Source organism: Homo sapiens, chromosome 11 (genome assembly GCF_000001405.40).
Source record: "Homo sapiens chromosome 11, GRCh38.p14 Primary Assembly".
Taxonomy (NCBI): Eukaryota; Metazoa; Chordata; class Mammalia; order Primates; family Hominidae; genus Homo; species Homo sapiens.
The window spans coordinates 67435427-67451070 of record NC_000011.10 but is presented as its reverse complement, the minus strand read 5'-3'; the positions used below and the strand labels follow the sequence as shown (position 1 = coordinate 67451070).

The window sequence follows — 15644 nt, the reverse complement described above, 5'->3', positions numbered from 1 at the left end:
CACACAGTCGCCCGACAGCCCCCAAACCGCAGCTAATGGCATCTTGCGGGGTACTGTCCCTCAACACCCCAGACCCCGCTGACTATTCTTCCCTGGGCCTCAGTCCTGCTGGAGGAAGACAACAGGGGGCACTTTCCCCGGGCTTGACCTGACCTCCCTTTGGTCCTTCCCTCCCTCTCCTCCTCCGGGCCTGGACACAAGGACGTGAAACAAAAAAGTCCCTGAAGAGAAGGGGGCCTCCCAGGAGCCACCAGCCCCAAGCAGGAGCCTAAGGCCCTGGTGAACCACAAGCTGGCCTGGCATGGCCAAGCCTGGTCCACTAGTCCCCTTCCCCCAACAGTCATTGAGGCTGGGGCAGGGCCTCCCTCAGCAAGGCGCCAGAAGAGGCAAGAGCTGCCTAGCCTGGATTCAAATCCAGCTCTGCCATGTCCCAGCTGAGCGACTCTGGAGGAGCAACTTCACCTTCCGAGCTCCCGTGTCATCAGCTGTTGAGAGGATGCAATAAGAAAGTGTGTAAGGCATTACAAGAGCCTGGCGCACGCAGGGGCCTGGTGAACTAGCCTTTCTTCTCCTTCATCCACATACAGGATGTCCCTTTAGAGGCTGGGGATGGATAGAGGAGGCAGTGGGGAGAGCCACCACCTGGCCCAGGCATCTGGGATCTTGTGACCTGTCTGGGCCGTAGACACCCAGGTGGCCTAAGACCAGGAGGCCGCCTCTGTGCCTTGGGGGCCTGCAGGGGACTTCAAAGTCTGATTCTATTTAAAAGTTCAATTAGCATCCACCTGCTCCCCACCTCCCGTGGAGGGCTGCACAAGATTCTTTGTGGGGGCTGCAGGTACAGAGGGCCCCGATCCTGCCTGAATAACAGCCTCCCTCTGTCTGAGCCCAAGTGCACAGATAGGAAGTTGTCCAAGCACACAGAGCTCAGGGCACCAGTGGGTCTAGGAAGGGCAAAGGCAAAGACGGCCGGGCGCGGTGGCTCACGCCTGTAATCCCAGCACTTTGGGAGGCCGAGGCGGGCGGATCACAAGGTCAAAAGATCAAGACCATCCTGGCCAACATGGTGAAACCCCGTCTCTATTAAAAGTACAAAAATTAGCTGGGCGTAGCGGCGCACACCTGTAATCCCAGCTACTCGGGAGGCTGAGGCAGGAGAATTGCTTGAACCCGGGAGGCAGAGGTTGCAGTGAGCCGGGATTGTACCACTGCACTCCAGCCTGGCGACAGAGCAAGACTCCATCTCAAAAAAAAAAAAAAAAATTAGAAAGGGCAAAGGCTCCCAGAGGTCACACAGCTTCTCTAGGGCAGAACCAGCTCTTCCCTCTCAAGCTGCTGATGCTGCAGAAAAAACTAGAAGTGCTGAAGGTCTATCTTCCAACCCCCACTCCACTTCCCTTTTCCTACCCATCGTCCTCTCCTGGCACCCACCCCACCTGCGTTCTCCTTACCCCCAGTGTTCCAGTCATGCCCCCTTATCCCATTAGCTCAGTATCGTGACCTTCAGCAACTGAGACGCCCTTTCCGGCAGGTGTAAATGACAATGATGTCAGATGTGCAACCCTTCCCAGAGACACCTGCATTTTCCAAATGCAGCAGGCTGTGCAGGCAGCCTAGAGTGATACAGTCAGGTCTGGGTTCTGGTTCCTAACTTCCTTCCTCTCAGCCTGTTTTCTCCTCTGTAAAATGGAGTGATCATGTTCCCCTTGCAGGCTTGGCAGTTCTGATCATTGACTGAGCCCAGGGATGGGAAGTGCTGTGGGCGGTGGTGGTGGTGATACCAGAAGCATAGTCGTAGTGATGGAATTGCGGGCACTGAGGCCCATGGGAGAGAGATTTCTGGCCAGGCATGCATTTATTGAATTCATTCATCCAGTATTTCTTGGGCACTCGCTAGATGCCTTTCTGGCCAGCCTTCCATTCTGGAGCCACTTGGGTGAGGTTAAGGGTTTGCCCTCTTGGCTGGGCGCAGTGGCTTACGCCTGTAATCCCAGCACTTTGGGACCCTGAGGCAGGCAGATCACAAGGTCAGGAGATCGAGACCATCCTGGCTAACATGGTGAAACCCTGTCTCTACTAAAAATACAAAAAAAAAAAAAATTAGCTGGGCGTGGTGGTGGGCACCTGTAGTTCCAGCTACTCGGGAGGCTGAGGCAGGAGAATGGCGTGAACCTGGGAGGCGGAGCTTGCAGTGAGCCGAGATCGCACCACTGCACTCCAGCCTGGGCACACAGAAAGACTCTGTCTCTAAAAAAAAAAAAAAAAAAAAAAAAAAAAAGAGTGCACTCTCTGGTGACCATCAGGGGTTGTTTGAATCCTGGCTCCACCACTCACAGGCTGTGTGACCTTCCACAAAGCTCTTAGCCTCTTTGGGACTCAGTTTCCTCGTCTGTAAAATGAGGATCATAATAATGGTACCCATCTTGCAGGAGCGTGAATCCCTATGAAGTGTTCGTGATTGTTAGCCATTAATTTGATGACAGCAGTGGGCACCCCCCGGTCTCACTCAGCCCTGGGACCAATACTGAGCCACAGGCCAGCGCCTGAGTGGCAGATCGCCTGCCCCCCAGGCCTCCCCACCATGGCACTGCCTCCTGTTCCACAAGGGAAGTTCTCACCCTCCCCATCCCACTGCAGTCCACACTCTGAGCGCAGGGCCTGGACTTCGGTCCCCATTAGGGCACTCCGCAGTGCCCTTCTCCCTTTTTCTGGGCAGGGCTCCCAGGGCCTTTTCAGCATGGCAGGCAGATTGGGAAATAAAACCTCAGCATCAGCCACTTGCTTTCAGCTCTGGTCCACACTCCAAACCCTACCTCTTGGGGAGTGGGCCAGTCCCACGTCCAAGGACCCCAAAGGGAATCCCACCCATAATGCGTGATTTCTGTCCAGAAGAAAGAGCAGCAGACCATCACCCTTGGTCAGCCAGAGCAGCGGATGCTCAAGAAAGGAATAAGTGAGGTAGCTGGTACCCCAAAGCCGCCAGCCTGAGGGAGGCGGGGCAGACTCCACCTGTGGGACAGGATGGGGTAGAATGCCTGAAGGGTTTTGCGGAATAAAGAGGAGTTCTCAGGCCAGGCACGGTGGCTCACGCCTGTGATCCCAGCACTTTAGGAAGCCAAGGCAGGCAGATCAACTGAGGTCAGGAGTTCAAGGCCAGCCTGGCCAACATGGTGAAACCTCATCTATACAAATACAAAAAATTTGCCGGGTGTGGTGGCGCATGCCTGTAATCCCAGCTACTCGGGAGGCTGAGGCAGGAGAATTGCTTGAACCCAGGAAGCGCGGGTTGTGTAAACCCCCGAGGGGTTCGCCTTGCCTGCTGCCTAGACAGAGCCAATTCACGCAGAGCCGGCTGTGCAGGAGACTGCAGTTTTATTCTTACTCAAATCAGACTCCCTGAGCATTCTCAGGGAGCTGAGTTTTTAAGGATAACTTGGTGGGTGGTGGGAAGCCAGTGAGCCAGCGGTGCTGATTGGTCAAGGATGAAATCAGAGGGAATCAAAGCTGTCATCTTGCACTGAGTCAGTTCCTGGGTGGGGGCCACAAGATCAGATGAGCCAGTTGATTGATCTGGTGGTGCCAGCTGATCCATCAAGGGCAGGGTCTGCAAATATCTCAAGCGCTGACCTTAGGAGCAGTTTAGGGAGGGTCCGAATCTTATAGCCTCCAGCTGCATAACTCCTAAACCATAATTTCTTTTTTGTTTGTTTGTTTGTTTTGTTTTTTTGAGACAGAGTTTTGCTCTTGTTGCCCCAGGCTGGAATGCAATGGCGTGATCTCAGCTCACCACAACCTCCGCCTCCCGGGTTCAAGCGATTCTCCTACCTCAGCCTCCCGAGTAGCTGGGATTACAGGCATGTGCTACCACACCCAGCTAATTTTGCATTTTTTAGTAGAGACGGTGTTTCACCATGTTGGCCAGGGTGATCTCGAACTCCCGACCTCAGGTGGTCCGCCCGCCTCGGCCTCCCAAAGTGCTGGGATTACAGGCGTGAGCCACCATGCCCGGCCCTAAACCATAATTTCTAATCTTGTGGCTAATGTTAGTCCTACAAAGGCAATCTAGTCCCCAGGCAACAGGGAAGTCTGCTTTGGGAAAGGGCTGTTACCATCTTTGTTTATAAACTAAGTTTCTCCCAAAGTTAGTTCAGCCTATGCCCAGAAATGAACAAGGACGGTTTAGAGATTAGAAGCAAGGGCCAGATGAGGTGGCTCATGCCTGTAATCCCAGCACTTTGGGAGGCCGAGATGGGCTGATCACAAGATCAGGAGATTGAGACCATCCTGGCTAACACAGTGAAACCCTGTCTCTATTAAAAATACAAAAAAAATTAGCCAGGTGAGGTGGTGGGCGCCTGTATTCCCAAATACTCGGGAGGCTGAGGCAGGAGAATGGCGTGAACCCAGCAGGCGGAGCTTGCAGTGAGCCGAGATCGCACCACTGCACTCCAGCCTGGGCGACAGAGCGAGACTCTGTCTCAAAAAAAAAAAAAAAAAAAGAGAGAGATTAGAAGCAAGATGGTTGGTGAAGTTAGATCTCTTTCACTGTCTCAGTCATAGTTTTGCAAAGGTGGTTTCCGTTGCAGTAAGCCGAGATCGCGTCACTGCACTCCAGCCTGTACAACAGAGCAAGACTCTGTCTCCAAAAAAAAAAAAAAAAGAGTTCTCTCAGTGGTCCATGGAGGAGGGTTTTGTGTTAGAGAAAATGGGCATGAAGGTGGGCTCAGCCCCAAGACATTGCCCAGCCACACACCTCCTGCCTACCACATCCCAGGGGACCAGTCTCCTGCTGCCGTCTGGAAGACTCACTCCTTCTCCGGTGAGAGATGCCCTTCCTTCCCTCTCCTTCATAGGTGCCAGACATTGATCCTGAGAATTGTGATTATGAGTATTGTTCAATTCTACATTCAGGGCTGCTGCTCATTCATTCATTCCTCATACATTACTTGATCCCATACTGAGTGTTGGATCTTGTTCAGGGTGCTGGGAATACAGTAGGAAGATAGGCAAAGTCCTTCCCCTCAATTTGCTGACATCCTGGTGGAGGCCGACACAAACCAAATACACCAATAAGCACCTGATGCAACATCAGGCGGCGCTGGAGAACACAGGCCGGGTGGTGGCTCACACCTGTAATCCCAGAGTTTTGGGAGGCTGAGGCAGGAGGATTTTTTGAGGCCAGGAGTTTGGAACCAGCCTGGACAACATAGGAGACCTCCATCTCTACAAAAATAAAAATTAGCTAGGCATGGTGGTACGTGCCTGTAGTCCCAGCTACTTGGGAGGCTGAGGCGGGAGGACTGAGCCCCAGAGTGTGAGGCGGTAGTGAGCTAGGACCGTGCCACTGCACTCCAGCCTGGGCAACTGAGCAAGACCCTGTCTCCCAAAAAAAGAACAATGCAGTCAGGACAAGTAAGACCAAAGAGTGGCTGGGTGAGGAATGGTCCAGGAGAGCCCTAGGAGGAGGTGATGTCTGACCAGAGACCTGAATCGAGTGGGGAAAGGAGCCTTTTTGGGATCTGAGGAAAGAGCTTCCAGATGGAGAGAACAGGATGTGCCCAGGCCTCGGGGTGGGAAGGAAGGTGGGTGGGATCTAGATGATCCTTCTAGCCCCAGGGTTTATAGAGCACTAGGAAAAGCAAGGGCTTTGGACCCAAGCCGATGGGGATTGCATCCGGCTGGATGACCTCAGGCAGGCACCGCACCTCTCTGTGCCTGTTTCCTCAATGGGGTGTGGCAATGGGAATGAGATGGGAGACAAGCCCGAGGTCACCCTCAGACACACAGTGGGGGCCTCTTTTAGCCAGAGACAAGGCTCCTGTGACCTCTGCTCTTCCCCCGCTTCGTCCTCCATCCATCTCTTTCTGGGAAAGGGAGGGTGCCATCGGTCAGCCAGGGCAGTGGATGCTCAAGGAAAGAATAAGGGAAGTAGCCGGTGCCCCAGAGCCGCTGGCCTAAGGGAACGGGGGTACATTCCACCTGTGGAACGGGATGGGGTGGGTCTGGAGAGGCCAGTCTGGGCTCCTTGTCACAGGCGCTGGCTAGAGAAAGAGAGAGGCCTGTGAATGGATCTCCAGGCCTTCGAGGGAGATGGTGGAGAAAAGAAGGCAAGGTGCAAGGGACTCACTGGCCATGGCCCCCTTTCAAATTGTAATAAGAAAGCTCAGCAGAATGCACAGGTGTTTACCCTGAAAAATGGGACTCCTGGGTCTTCCACTCGCTCCATAAACACTGCTATTTTCTGGATGGGCACGGTGGCTCACAACTGTAATCCCAGCACTCTGGGAGGCTAAGGCAGGAGGATTGCTTGAGCCCGGGAGTTCAAGAGCAGCCTGGCCAACATGGTGAAACCCTATCTCTACTAAAAATACAAAAAAAATAGCAGGGTATGGTAGCAGGCACCTGTAATCCCAGCGAATTGGGAGGCTGAGGCAGGAGAATTGCTTGAACACGGGAGGCAGAAGTTGCAGTGAGCCGAGATCGCGCCATTGCACTATAGGCTGGGAGACAGAGCGAGACTCCATCTCAAAACAAAACAAAAAACACACCAGCCTGGGCGACAGAGCAAGAGACCCCATCTCTACAAAAAGTAAAAGAAAAATTAGCCAGGCGTGGTGGTGTGTGTCTGTAGTCCCAGCTACTTGGGAGGCTGAGGCAGGAGGATCCCTTGAGCCTAGGAGGTCGAGCCTGTAGTGAGCCATGATCATGGCACTACATTCTAGCCCGGTAGTGACAGACCTTGCCTCAAAAAAAAAAAAAAAAACCACCCCAACACCTGCTGTTGTTTTCTTTACATTGTTAACCAAGAGCATGAAATTTAGGCCGGGCATGGTGTCTCACGCCTGTAATCCCAGCACTTTGGGAGGCCGAGGCGGGCGGATCACGAGGTCGGGAAATCGAGACCATCCTGGCTAACATGGTGAAACCCCGTCTCTACTAAACATACAAAAAATTAGCCGGGCGTGGTAGTATAAGCCTGTAGTCCCAGCTACTGGGGTGAATTTCTTGAACCTGGGAGGGCGGAGGTTGCAGTGGGCCGAGATCGCGCCACTGCACTCCAGCCTGGGTGACAAAAACTCCGTCTCAAAAAAAAAAAAAAAAAAAAAAAAAGAGCATTAACTTTGATAACTTAAAAAGAGTCACGTGAACATATCCACTGTCCGTGTAGATTCTACATTTATTTGTTGGGGGCGGTAATGGGGCCCCTTGGAGGTGTGCGTTCCGTCGGGGGCCGGGAAGGCGGGGCCTCACCCAATCCTGGAGACTCCTGCGGATGCCATTATGAGGAGCAAGAACGCGAAGGGGCCTCGGGTCCGCTGTAAGGCTGCACCCGCACCTGCGGCGCCTCTGCGGCGGCCGCCGTCGGCCCTGCCCCGCCCCGCCCCCTTCTTCCGGAGGAGCTGCGGTGGGGGCGCTCCACCGGGTCCTAGGAAAGGGGCTCTCTCTGGCCCCGTCCCCGGCGGCCCCGCTCCCGGCCCCCCGGCGCCGCTCAGCCTCCCGCCCAGCCCCTCCGCGCGTGACCTCGGCCCCGCCCCCGCGAGCCCCTGCCCCGCCCCCGCTCCGGGTCCCTCTGTCACTTCCTGAATCCTGCTTCCTGCTTCCCAGAGGCCGGGATCCGGAGCCGCCCGAAGCCGGTGCCGCAGCCCCCTGCGCCCCCGGTGCCCCCGGTGAGCGCGGCAGGGCCGGGGCTAGGGGCGCGGGCTGGGGGCTGGGCGGGGCTGCAGGGGCCGGGCTGAGGGGGCTGAGGGGGGATCGCGGGTCCCAGGAGCCTTTCGCCTCCCCTCTACCCCACTCAGTCCCACTCCCCTTGGCCGCCCAGCCTCTCCTCTCCTGGGCGGAGGTCCCTGGAAGTTGGGCTCCTGGTTCACCCTGGACCCCGATTCGAGGCCGCTCTGGGTTGCTTCGCGGCCCACAGCTGCGTCCCGACCCCGTCCCTTCCTGGGGGCCATGCCGGGGCTCCCTGGACATTCCCTGGGACTCAGAACTGGGCACTCACTCGGCCCCACAGTAGAGAGACTTTTCCTGCTTCCTCTCTCCTTCTTCCCCATTACCTAGCCTCCAAATCTCTGGGAGCAGGAAGGAGGCTGCTCCCGACTGGCTGGGACCTACAGTAGAGCTGAGAGCTCTCCAACCCCGGCACCTCCCACCTCCTGCCCCCGACACACACCAGAGCCAGGGAGGGGCCCTGCGTCCTGCAAAGCCCCTCAGGACTCAGCAGTGGTCAGGGCCGGAGCATTTACCTCTCAGATCACTGCCTGCGGGGTGACAGGCGGCCAGGCTCTGCACCTGTGACCCCATTCTGTAACTGGGTAAACCGAGACCCAGGAGGGTTACGGTGGCCTGGCCCCCGGTTGCATCCTCCCGGCTCACCTTCAGCAGCCTGGGGAGGGCTGGAGTTGTTGGGATGGGCCGGACTGACCCAGGCCTCTCTGTCCCGCAGACATGTCCTTCCGCAAAGTGGTCCGGCAGAGCAAATTCCGGCATGTGTTCGGGCAGCCGGTCAAGAACGACCAGTGCTATGAGGACATTCGCGTGTCCCGTGTTACCTGGGACAGCACCTTCTGCGCCGTCAACCCCAAGTTCCTGGCGGTGATTGTGGAGGCCAGTGGAGGGGGTGCCTTTCTGGTGCTCCCCCTAAGCAAGGTGGGTCCTGTCAGGGTTGGGGGAAGAGGAGGCACCTCGGCCACCCCTACTGGGCCTTTCTGCACACCTTGAATCCCTCATCTTGCCGTTTCTCACACTGCTGGGCAGGTGTTATAACCCAGATTTATCGCCCCAAGTGTTAGCACAGATGGAAAGTAGCCTGTTGCCATAGAGGCAGGGTTAGAGGCAGCAAACATTTCCTGCTCACCTGGCAAGTGGGGCACAGTCACATCTGGGCCACCTGTGAGCCGGGACGTGCATGTCATTCCCACTCCATGGAGGGGAAGACCAAGGCTTCGGGAGGGATGGAGCCCACTGACTGCCCCCTCGTGCCCACAGACGGGCCGCATTGACAAGGCCTACCCGACGGTGTGTGGGCACACGGGACCTGTCCTGGACATCGACTGGTGTCCTCACAACGACGAAGTCATAGCCAGCGGCTCGGAGGACTGCACGGTCATGGTGAGGCACAGGACTGGCTGGGCCAGGGTCGTGGGTGTGGCCGAAGGGGGCCAGCAATAGGACCAGCAGAGGACTGAGCTCGGTGGCCCTGTCCCTACCACAGGTGTGGCAGATCCCAGAGAACGGGCTGACCTCCCCGCTGACAGAGCCGGTGGTGGTACTGGAGGGGCACACCAAGCGAGTGGGCATCATCGCCTGGCACCCCACGGCCCGAAACGTGCTGCTCAGTGCAGGTCTGCACCGCCCCCCGTTTTGTGCTCCCCCCCCCCACGGACCCCTCCATACATCCCAGCAGCCCCTCCAGGGCCCACATGACAAATGGGAAAGCTGAGGCCCTCAGAGTTGGAGAGACCCGTCTGTCCCAGGGTGGTGGGCAGAGTGGGCCTCAGCCTGGTGAGCTAATGGCCTCCTGCCACCCACCCGGCCCGAGCTGACAACCCTCACCTGCCAGGCTGCGACAACGTGGTACTCATCTGGAATGTGGGCACAGCGGAGGAGCTGTACCGCCTGGACAGCCTGCACCCTGACCTCATCTACAATGTCAGCTGGAACCACAATGGCAGCCTGTTTTGCTCAGCATGCAAGGACAAGAGCGTGCGCATCATCGACCCCCGTCGGGGCACCCTGGTGGCAGTACGTGGCTCTGGAGGGCAAGGATGGCTGTGGATAGGCCCAGGACCTTGAGCAGGGCGCTGCACTGACCAGCCTGTCCCCCCGACAGGAGCGGGAGAAGGCTCATGAGGGGGCCCGGCCCATGCGGGCCATCTTCCTGGCAGATGGCAAGGTGTTCACCACAGGCTTCAGCCGAATGAGCGAGCGGCAGCTGGCGCTCTGGGACCCAGTGAGTGGCCAGCCTGAGGGGGCAAACTTGAGACTTGGGCCCCACCCTGGGCCAGGCAGGCAGGGTTCACCCTGGGGAGGCCTGTGGTTCCTAGCTTCTCTGCCTGGAACTTGAGGCTCTCAGGGCCTAGGACTCTGTCAGACTTTCCTCTCCTGCCCCCTGCTCGCCCGACTGCCCCACCACTCCCCCATGGCCTCCCACTGCCTCTGTGTCTTTGCCCATGTTGTTCATGCCAACGGAAGGGCCCTTCTCTCCCTTGCTTGCCTGTACCACCCACTGCCTGCACAGGGCTCCCCGCTCCTCCAGAAAGCCTCCTCCTCCAGCAAGCCTCCTGGCCCCAGCCCTCTCTGCTTCTGCATAGTGACCTCCAGGGCACCTTGAGCAGGGGCTGGTGCCGCTGGCACCCCAGCTCCCCACAGTGAGGTATGTTTCAGCACTTGCTTAGTGGCCTGGGCATAGTCTTAAGGCCTGGAGGAGGCTGGAAAAGAGGGACCCTGGGAATAAAGTGAAGCCAGGAGGGCCAGGTGGGGGTCGTCATGTGGGAAAAGGCATAGAGATGGCAGAGGGCCCACCTGCATTTAGGGGCAGTGCTGGCTGGCCTTAGTGAGGCCAGCTAAGGCCCGTCCTGGTTTGGGATTAGGGGGTGAGGAGGTTCTGCTTGGCCTGACTGCCTGCAATGTGCCAGGAAAACCTCGAGGAACCCATGGCCCTGCAGGAACTGGACTCGAGCAACGGGGCCCTGCTGCCCTTCTACGACCCCGACACCAGTGTGGTCTACGTCTGCGGCAAGGTGGGGCTGGGCAGGGCTGGCGAGGGGCAGGGAAGAGGCGTGCCCAGGTGCTGAGCCCCCTCCCCACACAGGGTGACTCCAGCATCCGGTACTTTGAGATCACAGAGGAGCCTCCCTACATCCACTTCCTGAACACGTTCACCAGCAAGGAGCCGCAGCGGGGTATGGGCAGCATGCCCAAGCGGGGCCTGGAGGTCAGCAAGTGCGAGATCGCCCGGTAAGAGGGCTACCGAGGCCACTCGGGGATAGGGGCATCTAAGGTGAGAGGTCAGGTCATTGGAGGCTGCTTGGGAGCAGGAAACCTTGCGCCAGGGAGGCCCGGCGGGCCATGAGAACTGTCACGAGGCAGCCCGTGTGGGGGTCTAGCCACCTTAGGGGTCGGCCTGCGGAGGTCCTGGGGTGAGGACTGGAAGTGGAGGATGCCAGGAGAGCTGGCGGTGGGTGGGGGGGGCGGTGAGGGTTCCACCCGTGGCTCCTCCTTGCATCCCCAGGTTCTACAAACTGCATGAGCGCAAGTGTGAGCCCATCGTCATGACTGTGCCAAGAAAGGTGAGGCCGCCCGTCCCTCGGCTCACTTGGCCCTTTCTCCAGCAAGCGGGCCATGCAGTTGTGACCAGGGCGAGGCCTGTGAATGGAACATGACCTAGTATGGTTTGTGGGCAGTGAGCTGGACAGATGCCAGCTTGCCCTTGTACCAGCCAGCTGTTGGGCTGTGCCAGTCAGGGGGCAAGTGGGGATGAGACAGAGGGTGAGCAGGGGCCCTGCTCTGGATGAGCCACAGGAGAAGGACACCAGGCAGTCAGGGAGGGAGTGGCAGCCACACAGATCTTCCTGAAGGAGGCAGGACCCATAACACAGCTGGGGTGGCGCCATCCACTGGGGGCAGGCCAGGCGAAGGGCACAGTGGTGGGAATGGAGAGAGGAACAAGGAGTCTGGCTGCAGTGGGGAATCCCATGAAGAGGGGACCGGGCCACATGTGGCTTGGCCTCAGATGCCAAGAGCCTCGGACACGCTTCCATGATTCTCTGGCCAGCATTTGCCGACTGCTCTTTCAACATGCCAGGCACATTTTGGGGAGTGGAGCTGAGCTGATAGGGCCTGCTCCAGGAGCTCACAGTCCATGGGCCCCAGAATCCCATAAAGCCACATAGTGGCCCCTGTGCCTTGCAGGGGAAGGTGATGACAGGGGCCTTGCTCAGAAGGGTGGGAAAGCTTCCGAGGGAGCTGTTGATGGTGTCCAGAAAGGAAGTTAAAGGCCAGATTTGAGCTTTCCAGGCCGTGGGAGAATGGGTTAACAGAGTGCAAGCCTGGAGGCCAGGGGAGGGATGAGGGGACCCTGATGGGGCCTCCTAACTGATCCTGACCTCCCCGGCCCCCTGCCCAGTCGGACCTCTTCCAGGATGATCTGTACCCCGACACAGCCGGGCCCGAGGCAGCCCTGGAGGCTGAGGAGTGGGTGAGCGGGCGGGATGCCGACCCGATCCTCATCTCACTGCGGGAGGCCTACGTGCCCAGCAAGCAGCGGGACCTGAAGATCAGCCGGCGCAACGTGTTGTCTGACAGCCGGCCCGCCATGGCCCCGGGCTCCTCCCACCTAGGGGCCCCCGCCTCCACCACCACTGCTGCTGATGCCACCCCCAGCGGCAGCCTGGCCAGAGCCGGGGTATGCACGCGCAGGCAGGGGTGGTGCTGGGAGCCCCAGGTGTGGCCCTGGCCTGCTGTGTGGGCTTCAGCCATTCGCTGTCCCTCTCTGGGGTAGTGGTGGGTTTGGGAGGGCTATGGCTTAGCAGCCCCTGACCACCGCCCCCTACCCCTGCTTCATGTCCCCACAGGAGGCTGGGAAGCTGGAGGAGGTGATGCAGGAGCTGCGGGCCCTGAGGGCGCTGGTCAAGGAGCAGGGCGACCGCATCTGCCGCCTGGAGGAGCAGCTGGGCCGCATGGAGAACGGGGATGCGTAGGGCCACAGCCACACGCCACCTTCATCTCCTCCGCCGCCCCCTTCCCACTCAGCTTCTGCCAGCGGGTCGCACCGGGCTAGCTGGCTGCCCAGAGCCTCTGAGGCAGCGCAGGGGTCAGTTCCCACCCCCACCCGTCCCAGGCCCAGGCCGAAGCCAGCGCCCAGCTTTCCTCACTGTTCCTGTGGAGGATGTCTACGCCCAGGCGAGCTCCTCGACCTCTGAGGGACCATCTCCCCGACCACTGCCCAGCCCTCTGCTCCCTCCCCAGAGGAGGCGGGAGGGTGGGCTCTATATTTTCATTCCAAATAAAATTCTCTTTCTAAAAGCCAGGCTGACCTGCTGCTGCAAGGGTGGGGCTGAGAAGTCTGGAAACCTGGAGACAGAGGATGTCACAGGAGTCACACATGTGCAGAAGGTCTGGGGGCAGTGAGCAGCCCCACAGGCATTGCTCCCCTGGATTGTCAGGCAGGGAAACTGAGGCAGAAGACCTGAGAACACATGCAAGGCTGCATCCAGCTTCAAGTTGGTGCTGCTTCTTCCTTGGAGGACAGGCCCGGCAGCCCAGCCTCCTCCAGAGAGACTGGGGAGGGTCTGGTGTGGACCAGGGGTCCTGCAGCAGGGAGGGGCAGGTGGGGTATGTGGGCAGGAAGCGGAAGCCTGGGCCACCCTTCACTGCAGACGAGCACTGAGCTCACTTCTCGCTCGACACAGCCAGAGCTGGAGGTGGGTGCCCGGCACGGAGGGGCCTGCGGACCAATGGTAAGCCTCGGAGCCCCCCGGGTTCTTGGGATGGGGGCCACAGGCGGTCGGGGCTAGAATGTCTGGGCCTGTGGAGCTAAGGAGGGCCCCACATTGGCCCCAGGGAAGAGGTGAGACCTAAGAGGAGTATGGCAGAGGCTGAACCTTTCTCTCACCTGAGCTGGGCTCCCTGGGACTCCAGGCCTGGCCCCCAGCACCCCATACCGGACCAGGCCCCTGTCAGGAGCCCTGGGAAGGCCCTTACCTGGTCTTCCTGTGAGCGGGAACTTGCATTCCTGGAGCCTGGGCGGACAGCCTGGGGTGGTGGGGGAGGCTGGCTGCACCTCAGCACCCCTCCCCCGACACCCCCCACCTAGCCTGTTCCGACCGCAGACTTCCTCTGGCAGCTGCGCCCGCCTCCCCCAGCCCCCCCCAGCCCCCGGCCCTGCACGCCTGTGGCCCTCAGGGACTGGGAGTGGAACGGAAACCCTGCCGCTGGGGCAGCCCCGTGGTGGGGAGGGAGGAAGAGGGGCCTCACGGACCCCCGTTTGGGGACCTGGCCAAGCAGAAGATGAGCAGTTGCCTCTGGGTGCATCCAGGCCCCTCCATCCCCCATCCCAGGCCTCAGGGAGAGCCAGCCCTGACACCAGCTAGCAACCTCCTTCCCTCCCTCCCATCTCCTCTCCCACCCACCCAGGCAGCCTAGACACATTTAATCCATACTTATTGAGCACCTACTAACATGCTTGACCCAAAAAGCCCCCGTTTCCTAGCAGCTTATTGTGGGGGGTAGATAAGACAATAGACATAAAAAATGAGTACAGTTATCTCCTGCGTTAGGTGACATGGAAGGAAAAAGGCACTGAGTGCTGGGGGGTGCTGGGGTGGGCTGCAGTGATAGACATCAGGGTAGAGGTTAAGGTCAGGTTCAGCCTCACTGGGGTGAAGTTTGAGCACGGTGAGCAGGCCATGCAGCCCGGGGGAGGGGAGGATGGGAGGAGGTGGAGCTTTCCGGGCAGAGGGAACAGCCAGTGCGAAGGCCCCAGGCAGGTGGCTTAATGCAGCTGTTGGGGGAGGTGAGTGGTAGGGAGGAGGCTGGAGGGATGGGGGCTGATCTCACAGGGCCAGAGCCTGGTTGACCAAATAAGGCCTTGGCCTTTTCTGCTTGGCTGTCCCAAGAGGATCCCAAAGAGAAAAAAACGAAAGTGGTCTTGGTCACCCAGCCTGCCCCACACCAGGCCCCACCCCAGGTGCTGAGCCCTCTGAGCCCCTGCCTGTCTCCCACAGGCTCTGCCCTGCACCTTAGGGCTCGGGATGCTGCTGGCCCTGCCAGGGGCCTTGGGCTCGGGTGGCAGCGCGGAGGACAGCGTGGGCTCCAGCTCTGTCACCGTTGTCCTGCTGCTGCTGCTGCTCCTACTGCTGGCCACTGGCCTAGCACTGGCCTGGCGCCGCCTCAGCCGTGACTCAGGGGGCTACTACCACCCGGCCCGCCTAGGTGCCGCGCTGTGGGGCCGCACGCGGCGCCTGCTCTGGGCCAGCCCCCCAGGTCGCTGGCTGCAGGCCCGAGCTGAGCTGGGGTCCACAGACAATGACCTTGAGCGACAGGAGGATGAGCAGGACACAGACTATGACCACGTCGCGGATGGTGGCCTGCAGGCTGACCCTGGGGAAGGCGAGCAGCAATGTGGAGAGGCGTCCAGCCCAGAGCAGGTCCCCGTGCGGGCTGAGGAAGCCAGAGACAGTGACACGGAGGGCGACCTGGTCCTCGGCTCCCCAGGACCAGCGAGCGCAGGGGGCAGTGCTGAGGCCCTGCTGAGTGACCTGCACGCCTTTGCTGGCAGCGCAGCCTGGGATGACAGCGCCAGGGCAGCTGGGGGCCAGGGCCTCCATGTCACCGCACTGTAGAGGCCGGTCTTGGTGTCCCATCCCTGTCACAGCCGCTCACTCCCCGTGCCTCTGCTTCCCAAGATGCCATGGCTGGACTGGACCCCCAGCCCACATGACCATGCCTCAGACTGTCACCCCCTACCAGTTCCCAAGTCCATGTGTACCCCGCTCACCACGGGAACGGCCCCCCCCAACCACAGGCATCAGGCAACCATTTGAAATAAAACTCCTTCAGCCTGTGGCCCTGTGGTCCTACAGAGACCCCTCCCTCCTGGACCAGGGGCTCCTCCTGGCACAATCCAACCCAACCCTGCCCCTAGGCAT

General features: G+C 59.3%; 2 protein-coding genes across 3 annotated transcripts, besides 18 other annotated features; both read left to right on the top strand.

Annotated features, from left to right (window-relative positions):
- Positions 4810–4889: an enhancer, noted in NCBI's record as "active region_5101". NCBI's record gives its function as "activates an Ori minimal core promoter by ATAC-STARR-seq in GM12878 lymphoblastoid cells {active_cell/tissue: GM12878}" and the evidence as "EXISTENCE:reporter gene assay evidence [ECO:0000049][PMID:35858748]".
- Positions 6860–7699: an enhancer, noted in NCBI's record as "H3K27ac hESC enhancer chr11:67210843-67211682 (GRCh37/hg19 assembly coordinates)". NCBI's record gives its function as "activates a minimal SCP1, AML or CMV promoter by ChIP-STARR-seq in primed H9 embryonic stem cells {active_cell/tissue: H9 hESC(primed)}" and the evidence as "EXISTENCE:reporter gene assay evidence [ECO:0000049][PMID:30033119]".
- Positions 7100–7199: an enhancer, noted in NCBI's record as "active region_5100". NCBI's record gives its function as "activates an Ori minimal core promoter by ATAC-STARR-seq in GM12878 lymphoblastoid cells {active_cell/tissue: GM12878}" and the evidence as "EXISTENCE:reporter gene assay evidence [ECO:0000049][PMID:35858748]".
- Positions 7262–15561, top strand: CORO1B (coronin 1B). Of its 2 annotated transcripts, NM_001018070.3 has the most exons (12): positions 7262–7318; positions 7606–7667; positions 8441–8643; positions 8983–9105; positions 9209–9338; positions 9557–9738; positions 9827–9946; positions 10632–10736; positions 10808–10953; positions 11228–11285; positions 12122–12400; positions 12570–15561. In NM_001018070.3, exons 3-12 carry the CDS (start codon positions 8443–8445, stop codon positions 12693–12695), a joined length of 1470 nt encoding a protein of 489 aa, NP_001018080.1. In that variant the 5' UTR covers positions 7262–7318; positions 7606–7667; positions 8441–8442; the 3' UTR covers positions 12696–15561. The 2 variants fall into 2 exon arrangements, with proteins under 2 accessions (NP_001018080.1, NP_065174.1); NM_020441.3 differs by lacking the exon at positions 7262–7318 and having other exon boundaries at positions 7595–7667.
- Positions 7330–7589: a silencer, noted in NCBI's record as "silent region_3636". NCBI's record gives its function as "represses an Ori minimal core promoter by ATAC-STARR-seq in GM12878 lymphoblastoid cells {active_cell/tissue: GM12878}" and the evidence as "EXISTENCE:reporter gene assay evidence [ECO:0000049][PMID:35858748]".
- Positions 7630–7679: a silencer, noted in NCBI's record as "silent region_3635". NCBI's record gives its function as "represses an Ori minimal core promoter by ATAC-STARR-seq in GM12878 lymphoblastoid cells {active_cell/tissue: GM12878}" and the evidence as "EXISTENCE:reporter gene assay evidence [ECO:0000049][PMID:35858748]".
- Positions 8540–9379: an enhancer, noted in NCBI's record as "H3K4me1 hESC enhancer chr11:67209163-67210002 (GRCh37/hg19 assembly coordinates)". NCBI's record gives its function as "activates a minimal SCP1, AML or CMV promoter by ChIP-STARR-seq in primed H9 embryonic stem cells {active_cell/tissue: H9 hESC(primed)}" and the evidence as "EXISTENCE:reporter gene assay evidence [ECO:0000049][PMID:30033119]".
- Positions 9579–9658: an enhancer, noted in NCBI's record as "active region_5099". NCBI's record gives its function as "activates an Ori minimal core promoter by ATAC-STARR-seq in GM12878 lymphoblastoid cells {active_cell/tissue: GM12878}" and the evidence as "EXISTENCE:reporter gene assay evidence [ECO:0000049][PMID:35858748]".
- Positions 11654–11713: an enhancer, noted in NCBI's record as "active region_5098". NCBI's record gives its function as "activates an Ori minimal core promoter by ATAC-STARR-seq in GM12878 lymphoblastoid cells {active_cell/tissue: GM12878}" and the evidence as "EXISTENCE:reporter gene assay evidence [ECO:0000049][PMID:35858748]".
- Positions 11840–12371: an enhancer, noted in NCBI's record as "H3K27ac-H3K4me1 hESC enhancer chr11:67206171-67206702 (GRCh37/hg19 assembly coordinates)". NCBI's record gives its function as "activates a minimal SCP1, AML or CMV promoter by ChIP-STARR-seq in naive H9 embryonic stem cells {active_cell/tissue: H9 hESC(naive)}" and the evidence as "EXISTENCE:reporter gene assay evidence [ECO:0000049][PMID:30033119]".
- Positions 12306–12445: a silencer, noted in NCBI's record as "silent region_3634". NCBI's record gives its function as "represses an Ori minimal core promoter by ATAC-STARR-seq in GM12878 lymphoblastoid cells {active_cell/tissue: GM12878}" and the evidence as "EXISTENCE:reporter gene assay evidence [ECO:0000049][PMID:35858748]".
- Positions 12306–12904: a biological region, named in NCBI's record as "H3K27ac-H3K4me1 hESC enhancer GRCh37_chr11:67205638-67206170".
- Positions 12372–12904: an enhancer, noted in NCBI's record as "H3K27ac-H3K4me1 hESC enhancer chr11:67205638-67206170 (GRCh37/hg19 assembly coordinates)". NCBI's record gives its function as "activates a minimal SCP1, AML or CMV promoter by ChIP-STARR-seq in naive H9 embryonic stem cells {active_cell/tissue: H9 hESC(naive)}" and the evidence as "EXISTENCE:reporter gene assay evidence [ECO:0000049][PMID:30033119]".
- Positions 12905–13437: an enhancer, noted in NCBI's record as "H3K27ac-H3K4me1 hESC enhancer chr11:67205105-67205637 (GRCh37/hg19 assembly coordinates)". NCBI's record gives its function as "activates a minimal SCP1, AML or CMV promoter by ChIP-STARR-seq in primed H9 embryonic stem cells {active_cell/tissue: H9 hESC(primed)}" and the evidence as "EXISTENCE:reporter gene assay evidence [ECO:0000049][PMID:30033119]".
- On the top strand, positions 13389–15561 carry PTPRCAP (protein tyrosine phosphatase receptor type C associated protein). Its single transcript, NM_005608.3, has 2 exons — positions 13389–13454; positions 14721–15561. Exons 1-2 carry the CDS (start codon positions 13452–13454, stop codon positions 15336–15338), a joined length of 621 nt encoding a protein of 206 aa, NP_005599.1. The 5' UTR covers positions 13389–13451; the 3' UTR covers positions 15339–15561.
- Positions 13438–13970: an enhancer, noted in NCBI's record as "H3K27ac-H3K4me1 hESC enhancer chr11:67204572-67205104 (GRCh37/hg19 assembly coordinates)". NCBI's record gives its function as "activates a minimal SCP1, AML or CMV promoter by ChIP-STARR-seq in primed H9 embryonic stem cells {active_cell/tissue: H9 hESC(primed)}" and the evidence as "EXISTENCE:reporter gene assay evidence [ECO:0000049][PMID:30033119]".
- Positions 13438–14065: a biological region, named in NCBI's record as "H3K27ac-H3K4me1 hESC enhancer GRCh37_chr11:67204572-67205104".
- Positions 13696–14065: a silencer, noted in NCBI's record as "silent region_3633". NCBI's record gives its function as "represses an Ori minimal core promoter by ATAC-STARR-seq in GM12878 lymphoblastoid cells {active_cell/tissue: GM12878}" and the evidence as "EXISTENCE:reporter gene assay evidence [ECO:0000049][PMID:35858748]".
- Positions 14248–15009: an enhancer, noted in NCBI's record as "H3K27ac-H3K4me1 hESC enhancer chr11:67203533-67204294 (GRCh37/hg19 assembly coordinates)". NCBI's record gives its function as "activates a minimal SCP1, AML or CMV promoter by ChIP-STARR-seq in naive H9 embryonic stem cells {active_cell/tissue: H9 hESC(naive)}" and the evidence as "EXISTENCE:reporter gene assay evidence [ECO:0000049][PMID:30033119]".
- Positions 14286–14345: an enhancer, noted in NCBI's record as "active region_5097". NCBI's record gives its function as "activates an Ori minimal core promoter by ATAC-STARR-seq in GM12878 lymphoblastoid cells {active_cell/tissue: GM12878}" and the evidence as "EXISTENCE:reporter gene assay evidence [ECO:0000049][PMID:35858748]".
- Positions 15562–15644: the final 83 nt, after the last annotated feature.